We start from the raw sequence: 12,682 nt of genomic DNA, 5'->3' as shown, positions 1-12,682 counted from the left end.
CAAACCCTGGGCACCTGCTGAGCAGTCCTCTGTGAATCACCACTCCTCACCCTCCAGGTGGGCCGGGGCATGGCAGGGCAGCCACCATCACCGCATCAGACCAATTTGGTTCAACCTTTATGTAACGAAGTTGTGATGTTTTGCAGTTGCCATGGACACCCAGGTTGAAGGTCACATAACCTGAGCATGCCCAGATGAACCAAGCATGCACCCACGGGCAGAACTAAGTGCTCGGACCTAGGAGCAGGGACTGAATTAAGAAGCAGATGCCACACAGCAAGATCCAGGATCCAATCAGATTGAGCCCTGGCATCACCCCATCGCATGATCCAGTCAGATCACGCCTCCAGGCATCACATTATTGTAAGATCCAATCAGATCACACCTCATTACCCTATGCTTATAAAATCCAACCCAAACCCCAGCTTGTGGAGACAGATTTGAGTGTTTCCTCCTGTCTTCTTTTCAGTCGACTCACAATAAGCCTTTCTCACTGCAAAAAGCCAGTGCTTTCGTGTTTGGCTTTCTGTTGTATGGGTGCAAATGGACACAGTTTGGTTTGGTGACACCACTGCTCTTGCATTTGCCCCCATCCTGAATTTTCTTTGAGCTCCTTTGGAAGAAGTTCATGCCTTCGCCTCCCCTCATTCAGTCTGTTACAACAGTCTCCCAACTAATCTTGTTTCTCCTCATTTCACCTTCCAGGTAGTTGCCTGAGAGCTCTCTAGCATGCAGGTCTGAGCATGTGGCTCCCAACTTCAAAATCTTCAGTTTGGCATTCAAGACTGTCTTTGCTCTTCATCCCTGTGTGCAGGGGTTCTTTTCACCCTTCTATGTGAAGCCCGTGCAGCCCCCTCCTGGCAGGTGAAGGTACTCGATTCCTTGAGCAGGCAGGTGGAGGGGCTCGATCCCTTGACTTCCTCGCGGCACCATGAACAGCCGCCATTGTAAACTGCTTCCTCTGTGATATGGTTTGGATATTTGTCCCCACCAAACCTCATGTTGAAATGTGATCCCCAGCATTGGAGGTGAGGCCTGGTGGGAGGTATTAGGATCATCAGGGCAGACCCCTCATGAATGGCTTGGTGCCATCCTCTTGGTGATGAATGATTTGTCACTCTGTTAGTTCACACGAGAGCTGACTGTTGAAAAGAGTGTTGCACCCCTCCTCTCTCTCTTTGTCTCCCTTTCTCACCTCTGCTCCCCCTTTGCCTTCCACCATGATTAAAAGCTTCCTGAGGGCTTCCCCAGAAGTAGATGCTATTGCCACTCCTCTCGTACAGCCCGCAGAACCATGAGCCAAATAAATCTCTTTGCTTTATAAATTACCCAGCCTCGACTACTCCTTCATAGCAATGCAAAACAGATGAACATGCCATCATCCCGGATAGCTCTGATTACCCATCCCTCCCCACTAGGCCATGAGTTTCTGGAGAATAGAAGCCAACACCGACCCATCACAGTGTCCCTTGTAGGCACTCGGGTGTTTGTTGAGTGAATGAATACATGGGTGACTTAAGGTATCCTTTTTGTTGGGAATGTTCTTCTCTTTCTGCTGAGCTTTCTAGATTCAGCTAGCTGTAGGCCACATCCTCTGAGGAAGAATTCTTAGGAATTCCTTCAGGGAAATATGACTCCCTGTAGGTCCCTGGATAGACTTCTGTCTGAGCACACACACAAAGGTTTATTTCACTGAGTTGATTTTATGACCCTGGTGTTTCCCCTGCCAATTCCAGTTTCCATCCCATAGGATGAGACGCTATAAATTGGTGGGGGACAATTTTGATTTGGAGTCTTTTTGTCCCTAGGGAAGAGTCCTCCGTGGCTGCCTCTAACAAAGATGACCCCACACCACTATCCACAGAGGGCTGGGGACGGTGGATGCTGTGGTTTGAATATTTGTCCCTGCTAAAACTTGTGTTGAAATTTGATCTTCAGTGTTGAGAGGTGGAACCTTTGAGAGGTGATTGGATCATAAGGCTCTGCCCTCATGAATGGATTAACCCATTCGTGGATTGATGGAATCATGATGTGAACTGAAAAAGTCACAAAATCTATAAATTTAGAAAGGAGGGCTTTATTTCTAAAGGAGGGTATCACAAAATCTATAAATTTAGAAAGGAGGGCTTTATTTCTAAAGAAGGGTACCACGACCTGCAAGCAGAAAGTGGAGCCTCCAGCTGAACAGAAAAGCAATCCCTTTAGGGAGGAGGTTACGAGACAGGAATTTGTGCTGAAGGGGTGGGCTAAGTGTACCTATTCAGCAGGCTATAGGAGGAGCTATGAATATTCACAAGAGGGAGATGGGCACATGCATAGTAAGCCAGCATGTATGTTACACACGTCCCATGTTCCCTTTGTGATGGAGAGGGAGAAACCTTTAAATGTGTTACAGTTAGGCCCTATACGTCAAAAGGTGAAGCAGGGGCACGAAGACCCTCTGTGCGCAGCTCTGCAGACTGAACAGAACCATTCCATGGCCAGTGGTCTCTTATCAAAAAGGAATGCTGGTCTGGTGCTGTGTTAAAACTGCAGAATGGAGGGTGGGTATCAGGAGGCTGGTGGATATCAGCAGCAGAGCAAGTCTTTCAAAAGTGTTGGTTTCTGTTTATCCCTAAGGAAAGAAAGGTGGTTAGCGAAGGAGTAGAAAGGGGCGGGTCTAACCTCCTGTCCTGTCATGTCCGGGAGCTCAGTTCTTTTTAAGATTTCCTTCAGTCCCCTTGGCTGAGAGGGGGTTTGTTCCATCAGTTGAGGGACTTAGGATTTTATTTTTCTTTTGCAATGGGTTATCATGAGAGGGGAACTGGTGGCTTTATAAGAAAAGGAGAGAGACCTGAGCTGGGACACTCAGCCCCTTCACCATGTGATGCCCTGCATTGCCTCAGGACTCTGCAGAGTCCCCACCAGCAAGAAGGCCTTTGCCAGAGGCAGCCTCTTGACCTTGGACATTGCAGCCTCTAGAACTGTAAGAAATAAGTTACTTTTCTTTATAAATTACCCAATTTCAGGCATTCTGTTATAAGCAAGAGAAAATGGCTAAGACAGCGGAAACATGCTCCATCAATCAGTCTGTCCTCTGCTGAGGTTTGCAAGGATGACAGCCCCATCCCAAGCACACGCTGGCCCCTGCCCCATCAGCTTGTACCAGGTCAGTACCACTGGATTACAAGGTGAGGCACACTCTTCTTTCCAAAGGAGAGGAGGCAAAGCCTAGAGGGCATGGCAAGGCTGAAGCAGGACCACTGCTGTGCTGGTGACCTGACTGTACCCTGTGCTGCCTTGAGACAACCCTTCACCAGCAGGTGCTCCCCCAATGCCTGACCTGTCTCTTTCACCTCCAGCTCTTCTCCACCTAGATGCTCAGGCATGGCAGGCTGGGGTGGTTGGCTCTAGGTCCATGGGCAGAAGGAAATGTGAGTGTTCCCGTTCTGGTTCCATTTCTTCCTTAAAGAAGGTGGTAGCTGACTTGCTTAATAAAGTCAGCTAGAAGTGAGCACACCTTACCAAGGGCACACATTCATATTTCTTGGAGGCACCATGGTCTAACCTCAGAACAAGGAAGGGCTGTGTCTCCCTTTGGCTCTGGGTTTGCCCCTTTTTGTAACAATAGACCCCAATGATAGAGTTTTAGGCTCTTTCCTGCCTGGCTGGCCTGGCTGCCATCCCAGAGGAATAGCATAGTTGTTGATGGCTTGTCTCTTTGATACCTGGTGAAATGGGTCCCATCTCTGATGTGCTCATTCTGATTAAATTCTACTATTTTTCTTTTCTCCCTCTAATGAGGGGGGCAGACCTGCCATTTGCTGGTTTGTTCTACCATCTATCTGTTTCCTCCACTGGGCTTGAGGGCAGATGCATGATTTATTGCTCACCATATTCTCAAGACCCAACAGAAAACTTGATCCAGCATAAGCACTCCCTTGATATTTGTGGAATGAATGAAGGAAAAAAAAATGAATGCTGGGGAACAGAGGTTAAAAATCCGTGAGGAAGAAGAAAAAGGAGGTGGGTCTGTGAAGATGGGATTCCTTGCCCAGCCCAGCCAGTCTGGGGAATGAAGAAGACAGAGAGGCCCATGTGGCTGGAGAGGGGACTGCTATGTGACGGTGCTCCATAGCCACCAGATGCATGATTCAGCCTTTTCTGGTCAACCCTCTGCCCTTTTTTTCCCGAGCCAGGTGGTGGAGGAGCTGACAGCCATGAGCAGGATTGCTCCTGGCAGACCTGAAGCCTGGACTGTATGCCCCCTGAGATTTTCCACACAGCAAGAAGTCACCTGCTCTTTCTGAGAACTGACAGGTTTTCCTCCCCAAAACCAAGGGAAGGGGTCTCTACAAGCATCATTTGTAAATTCCAGGGATGCCTGCAGGCAGGGGAGACTGCATTCTGCCTTCTGGGGGCATCTGTTCAGATGGTGGCTGGCTGATCTGATCTGACACTGTGAGCAGGAGAAAAGAGAAGCAAAGAGATGGCAGGGTATGGCGGGGAGACGGTGGCGTGGCCTGGATCTCCACCACTGGGCAAGGTTACTTGAGCCAAGGTGCTTTCAAAAAACCCAGAGGAAGGTGTCTAGGCCTGAGCTGTACGGCTGGTGCCTGACTCTGCTTGCAGGACCATCCCTGGGGTTAAAGAGACTGAGCTGGAGCCATAGGAACTATTTTGGGAGGAGCAGGGAGAAAGCCCCTTAAGATCTTCATGGGATCCCAGGCATGCAAATAGCAAGAGCGATAGCAACACAGAGAGCACTTCTGCACATTCAGGTTGGGCCAGAGGAACCACAGGCCCTCACATAAGGAAACCTCTCTGGTCCTCCCTCTTCTACCCCAGAGAGGCGAGCCATGGAAAGCAGGCTCTCTGTCCCCACCCAAATCTCATGTCAAATTGTAATCCTCAGTGTTGGAGAAGGGACCTGGTGGGAGGTGATTGGATCATGGAGGTGGACTTCCCTCTTGCTATTCTTATGATAGCGAGTGAGTTCTTACGACATCTGGTTGTTTCAAAATGTGTAGTGCTTCCTCCTTCGTGCTCTCTCCCTTCTCTGCCATGGTAAGACGTGCTTGCTTCCTCTTCATCTTCCACCGTGATTGTAAGTTTCCTGAGGCCTCCCCAGCATGCTTCCTGTGCAGTCTGTGGAATTGTGAGCCAATTAGCAGTGAGAGAACAGACCAACACAAAAGTAAGCCATTCCGCGTCAATTCCTTTCTCAATAGGTGGGTTGGATGTTGCACATTGGAAAGCAGAAACATGGAAGCCCCACCATGCAGGTCTTGTTCATGCTCTCCTCTCACCTCCCCAGGAGCCCTGTGAGCTGGAGACTATTGGCCCCGTTCTTACATAGATGAGCACTAAGGTCCAGAGAGGTCAGAATCTTGGCCAGGGCCACACAGAATTTAATTTGCCCCTGGGCAAGGGGCAAAACAGAATTTAAATGCAGAGGTTCAGACTCTGTCACCTACCCCACAGGGATTAATGCTTATTGAGCACCTATTATGTAACTTTTGCTTTTCATAGCTCTCTCTATCCCAACTGGGATAAATAAATTCATTTTCTTTATAAATTACCCAGTTTCAGGGTAATTTATAAATTGCATTATTTTACCAGGAAAGAAACTGAGTCTCAGACAGGAAGGTATTCACATATGTGAGCATGGTGCTAGCAAATCGGAGGCTGGAGTTTGCACCCCAGTTAGTCTGATTCCAAATCCAGTGTTCTTCCCAGTATTCCCCAGCTGCTCCATCCAGAGACCTGCAGGATTCCTTGAGCAGAACCCTGCTTAGAAGGTGGGGTCTGATCCCGACAGAAAAGAATTGTGTTGATCTTTGGGCTCAGCTTAAAATTCAGTCATCTGACTGAGCTCTTCTCTGATTTTGAAAACTGCTCTCCACTCAAGCCCTTGCTGTTTGGTCTGAAACTACAGGGTGCCAGCAGTGTAGACAGAGAACTGGGCTGAATCAGACAAACCCCCAGCCCTCCAGTGCTTGTGAGCGAGCCGTTCTGCAGGGTCTCCTTGCCTTCTGAAGATGGATTTGGGACAACACAGTTAAAAAGCAGCAGCATTTGGTCTTGGGAATGCCACTTTAAAATCCCTTAAAAATAAATGTTGAGGCTCTTTATCTTCATTGAAATCCTGTCTCCACGGCTCTGGGTGGGGGAGCCCCTCAGAGCCTGCTGCCTGGGCTGAGCTGGGAGGTGGGCATTTCCCTGGGCAACTGGAATGCAGTCATGGATACTGCTTGTAAGGGCTTTAATTACAAGTTTTCTGGCATAAAAGTTTGCTTTTAAAAATAGAAACCGTGCCAGCAAATATACGTAATATTTGCTTTGAAGTACTGAATTCCCAGAATTAGGTTTCGGCTTTTCCTCCATGGAGGGCTATAGATCCTTGGAGTCCCTCTTGCTCCTCCGAGGGAACCACATTATTTAGTTCTACTCTCCAATTCCTGACTTCACCTTTTCCTCACTTTTAATTTTAAACTCTGCAGCTGTAAAGTGATAGCAGTGGTCCCATCTATGAAGTCAGAAGCTCAGGTCTGTGTCCCAGCAACTTTGGTTAGTAACTGTGTGACCTTGAGCAGCTCTCCTAACCTTTCAGAGGCTTCTTCTCTCCCTCTGTAAAGAATAAGGGTGTGGTGGCTCACACCTGTAATCCCAGCACTTTGGGAGGCTGAGGTGGGAGAATGCTTGAGCTCAGGAGTTTGAGACCAGCCTGAGCAATACAGTAAGACCCTGTCTCTACAAAAAATGCAAAACTTAGCCAGGCTCAGTGGTGTGTGCCTATAGTTCCAGCCTCTCAGGAGGCTGAGGTGGGAGAATCACTTGAGCCTGGGAGGTTGAGGCTGCAGTGAGCCAAGATTGCATCACTGCATTCCAGCCTGGGCAACAGGGTGAGACCTTGTGTCAAAATAATTAAATAAATAAAAAGAAATAAATACATAAATAAAAAGAATAAGAATGAGGGCAGTATTGCAGAGCTGTGGAGAGGCATAAAGGCTCAGTGGGCAAATCTGAAGCATTGAAGCCCATTAAACGCTTGTTCATTCATACAAACAAATTTCCTTTTGAAGCTCATCTTTCTTGTTCTATTCTGAGTCTTTATCTGTTGGGTATGTTTTTAGGTGTTGATTTTTTTTTTCTCTCTCTCTGAGATGAAAAAAACACACAAAGGCTTCCTTCCTTCCCTCTCCACCTTCTGTCTCTCTGCAAAGCTTCCTTTCCTCTGTGCTTGTTTCATTTCCCCCTCATCTTCCTGAGCTGTCGTCATCCCTCCTGGAAGCCTTTGTCATTTACCTGGTTTTCATTATTTCTCTTTAAGTAGCATTTATCATAAGCCTCAATCTAGCAGGCACATCTCAGATGTTTTCTCATTTTGATACAACCTTGTTTTTCTTCCTCCTATTTCCTCTCATCCAGAAGGATTTGAAACGTCCCTAAGAAGCACTGAAATTGACTATATAGGAAAGTAGGGGCTGGAGCTTGGTTTCTTGCCAAAGGTCTTAGTAATTTCTATTTTCGCTCTTCCATCTTGCTATTTGGCTTAGAGTAGGGGGTGGTGGTGAGAAGGGACATTGATGTAAGAACCAAAATGTCGTACCTTGTCATCAAAAGATGTGAAAGCCCACGGAAGAAAATCCCCTTCAGAACATTAGAGAGACACAGGCTTGGACATCGGAGAGGCCTCATTTTGAACCCCTAAATGGCTACTTTGGCTTATTTTACTTTTAAAGATCATAGTCTTTTTCACCATGTTTAAAGACATATGTTTAGATATTTAATGCACCCAGAATTTACCTGGGAGGTAGGGAGCCATCTTCATTTTTTTCTAAATGGATAGCCCATTGTAGCAATACCGTTTGTTGATTAGTCTGTCTTTTTCCTAGTGATTTGGAATATCATCTTTGTCATATGCTAAGTATATAATCTATAGGCCTGCTTCTGGGTTCTCTGTTCCGTTCAATTGATTTTTCTATCCCTCTGCCAGTAATTACTGTTAGAAAGCTTGAGTTCCTGAGCCAGAATATTCATGGCCACTCATAATTCACTTATTTTTTTTTACAAGAATAAAAGGGTGGTTGCAGAATCCCTTATTCCTACAAGCCATCTGGCGTCCTCCAACACTTGGAAAAAATAATGTAAAGCAATAATTTAGACTTCTATTTGATTATTTTAAAAATCATTTTGAGCACCCTTGTTAATAAGATATTTGCTAAATCTTTGAACTGAAGAGAAGGAAAATTCCACATGTTTAATTTATGAGATGTTTGCTCCATGGAGACTAGTTTATTTTCAGGTTGGGGAAAACAAACCGAACTTGGGTAAATTCTCTTATTTTTCAGTTCTGGCACTGATAATTAGTTTACCACAGCCATGCTGCCCTGCTCTGCATTTGAGGTTGGATACAGCAATCTTCCATTCCTGGCCATGAAGCCTCCTTTTGGAAGTGCAATGAGTACCTCGCAGTCACCTTCCAAGTGCTGTTGTCACAGGTTCCTGGGGTTTGGAGTGGGGTTGGCCACAGGTCATCAGCTGTCACTTGAGCTGATGTAAGTTGAGTGTAAGTTTCACTGATGTCTGGGAACTGAGGATTGTTCCAGAGCACACCTATTAGGTTTCATGAATTTTTAAAAACTTTCCAATTTTGAAGAGTAAATAGAGTTTTGGGAGCTATGTATGGAGGTGGAGCATGTATTGAGCACCTCGTTTCTTCCCGAATACCTAGACACTTACTTATGGGAATCAGTATGGTTCTTTTGAAACACAGGAGTAGGTGGATCATCCCTGGGAGGAAACTGAGGCCAAGAGAGTTTCTGTAACTTGCCCCAGTCGACTCAATTCATAAGTAAAGGAGCAGGAACCCAAAGCCCCACCTGTGAGATCCACATGCCTTCCACCCACCAGGCTTCTTCTGCTTGCCAGTGATGGATTCAGACTCTGCTTGGTTCCAGTCCCAAGTGTTCCACAACAGACCATGACCGTAACTCATCAGTAGGCTCAATCAAGGTCAAGGCCAATGCCTGTTATTGTTTCTGACATTTATTCTACATTTAAAGTACTGAAATTGCCTTGTTGCTTTAGGCACAATTTTGTATCTGAGATGCCAGATTTGATCATTCCTGTCTGTTCCCTTCCTTCTCTTTCTCTTATGTAATCATTCAGCACGCTCCTTGGAAAGCGTTCAGTGATAATATGGAATTTCTGCCCTCTAGGAGCCTACGGTGCAATGGTGTGTATAAGTGATCACAGTTGACGTTCACTGAACACTATGTTTCCCAGGCACCATTCCAGGTGCTTTGCATGTGTCCTATCATGAACTCCTCTCAAGAATCCTATGAAATCAGTTCTAGTATTATGCCCATTTGGTATAGAAGAAAATGAAGGTACAGAGAGGTTATGTAGCCTGCCCAAGGTCACACAGGTAGGAAGTAGCAGAGCCAGGCTTCGCATCCAGGTGGTCTGATAGGAAGACCACACTCTCAAGCCCGGTGCTGGCCCACAACCCACAGAAGGGAGCAAAGGTGGAGGAGCATCTGAGGCTGCCTTGGGGTCAGAGATGTTTCATCTGGAGGATGAGTCTATAAGGCCATTCTCGTTCACATTGCTATAAAGAAATACCTGAGACTGGGTAATTTATAAGAAAAGAGGTTTAATTGGCTCATGGTTCTGCAGGCTGTGCAGGAAGTGTGGTGGCATCTCCTTCTGGGGCGGCCTCAGGGAGCTTTTACTCATGGCGGAAGGTGAAGCAGGAGCAAGCAGTTCACAGGATGGCAGGAGCGAGAGAATGAGGCGGGGAGGAGCCACACACTTAAACGACCAGAGCTCCCAAGAACTCACTCCCTATCACAAGGACAGTACCAAGGGGGAAGGTCCTAAACCATCTATAAGAAATCTGCCCCCATGATCCAATCACCTCCCACTAGGCCCCACCTCCAACACTGGAGATGACATTTCAACGTGAGATTTGGGCAAAGACATACATCCAAAGTATATCAATGAGTGGCCAGGTGCGGTGGCTCACGCCTGTAATCCCAGCACTTTGGGAGGCTGAGGCGGGTGGATCACCTGAGATCAGGCATTTGAGTTCATCCTGGCCAACATGATGAAACCTTGTCTCTACTAAAAATACAAAATTAGCCGGGTGTGGTGGTGTGCACCTGTAATCTCAGCTACTTAGGAGGCTGAGGTAGGAAAATCACTTGAATCTGGGAGGCAGAGGTTGTAGTCAGCAAAGATCCTGTCATTGCACTCCAGCCTGGGCAACAGAGCAAGACTCTGTCTCAAAAACCAAAACCAAAACAAAATCCAAAACCAAAACAAACAAACAAACAAACAAACAAACGAAACTGTATCAATGACTAGGAATGTTCCAGCCACCCACAGGGGCTGGGGGCGGAAGGCTGTCCTGGCGGAACGGACCGCACAGGCAAAGGCCTGGAGGTTTGGAGGGTGTCTGATAGATTGATAAAGTCATAAGCTTCTCAGTGGTCATTTCATGTTCGTGGTTTATTGTGTCCTGGGATCATAATACCAGATTTAATGAACCAGCTTAATCCTAGAAGAAATTTGAAACAATGAAGCACTTGAGGTTTGAGTGCAGGACTAAACCCTAGGGAGCCAATAAAGAAACATTTTTTCATACTTGAAATATGACCTGTGCCTACAGTCTCCTCTCCCAGTCTCAGCATGGGTAGAATGACCCACGTGAGCTCTTTGGGGTGAGCAGCCAGAAGAGAGTTAGGCTAAACGAACATGCGCTATGCCCAGGGCTGTGCTGGATGATGGAGATTCAGGCACTCTCCCTGCCCTCTGGCAAGCCCAGGCTAGCAGAGGGCACAGACAGACCAGCGAATACAAGATGGCTACACGGTGTGATAAGTGGGCAAGGTGGGGTTTTGCATGGAGCACAGCTGGGGAGCATCTAACATCCCCTAACCCCCCAGCAGCATGTGGGAAGTTTTCTCTTTCTCTCTCTTTTTGTTTTGTTTTGTTTGAGACAGAGTCCCACTCTGTTGCCCAGGCTGGAGTGCAGTGGTGCAATCTTGGCTCACTGCAACCTCTGCCTCTTGGCTTCAAGTTGATTCTTCCACCTTAGCCTCCCAAGTGGCTGGGATTAGAGGCACGCACCACCATGCCTGGCTAATTTTTGTATTTTTAGTAGAGACGGGGTTTCACTATGTTGGCCAGGCTGGTCTTGAACTCCTGGCATCAGATGATCTGCCTGCCTCGGCCTCCCAAAGTGCTGGGATTACAGGCATGAGCCGCCCACCATGTCTGGCCTGCCGTAAGTTCTTGTTGGTCTTAGCCCCTAACTTCTCTTGGAACCATTAGTTTTCAGAATCATCATTGATGAACCTTCTCCCTTTAACCTCTGTGAAGGAGGGTCACTGTGCACTGGTTACCGACTTGTCTGAGTTTTGTGAGATAGAAACTCCCACACATGCAGCAGGTTAAATGAAGTGGATTTATTTCTTATAGATAGGCAGCAAAAGACAACAGAAGCCTGGGATTCATGAGGAGTTGCTCCCCTGAGGCTCGGGAAAGCTGCCTGGGTGGATGGAGTCTTGTCTTCAAGTGCCCGAAGCTGGCCTTGGGTTTTATACCCTGGAGAGCATGACTTGCCGGGCTAAAGTGTTGAAGAATTTCCTGTCTCCAGGGGTGATTCGGACAGAGTCAGTCTGTTCTGGTTAGTCCCCCGTTATCTAACCAGAACATGATGTACTCCAGCACGTTCTGGTTATTCTCAGGCACTACAAGTGAGAGAGGGGGAGAACTGGGTTAGTCCAAGGCCCAGGAGAGCTGTCCTGCAATGCCAGTGAAGCTTTATCACCCAGCTGTGACTTTCTCACTTTTTAGACTTTTATTTTAAGTTCAGGGGTACATGTGCAGGTTTGTTATATAGGTAAACTTGTGTTATGGGGGTTCGTTGTACAGATGATTTCATCACCTAGGTACTAAGGCTGGTACCCATTAGTTATTTTTCCTGATCCTCTCCCTCCTCACCCTCCACCCTCCGATAGGCCCCAGTGTGTGTTGTTCCACACTATGCGTCCACGTGTTCTCACTAGTTAGCTCCCATTTATAAGTGAGAACATGCAGTGTTAGGATTTCTGTTCCTGTGTTAGTTTGCTAAGGATAATGGCCTCCAGCTCCATCCACGTTCTTGCAAAGGACATGATCTTGTTCTTTGATGACTGCGTAGTATTCCATGGTGTATATGTACCACGTTCTCTTTATCCAGTCTACCCTTGACAGCCATTTGTGTGGTTGATTCCTTGTCTTTGCTATTGTGAATAGTCCAGCTGTGACTTTCTTGAGAGCAGGATTCAGCATGATTCCTCTCGGTACCAGGCCAATGGCGTCAGAGTTGTCCCAGAGTGGGAACTGTCAGCCACCTCCAGGGCTTTGACAGTGCCTGTGCACACTGGTGACTGCCCATGCTTCCTGGGGCCATGGCCTCGTCTCCTTCTTCATTCTACAACAGTTGCCCAACTGGCCTCCTTGGTCTGCAATCTAGCCCCTTCCATTATTTTTCCTCTATGCTGCCAGGATAAAAACAGAGTGTATCTGTGTGTTCTCAAATGGGCTATACTATCATGAGCCCCTGTAACTGTCCAGCCTCATCTCTTGATCCTTTTCCCCACCCTGCCCACCACTACTCCACACTGCAGTCGAACTAAAGCCGAAACAC

This window comes from Homo sapiens, chromosome 2 (assembly GCF_000001405.40).
Source record: "Homo sapiens chromosome 2, GRCh38.p14 Primary Assembly".
NCBI lineage: Eukaryota > Metazoa > Chordata > Mammalia > Primates > Hominidae > Homo > Homo sapiens.
Note: the sequence above shows the minus strand (reverse complement) of the source record.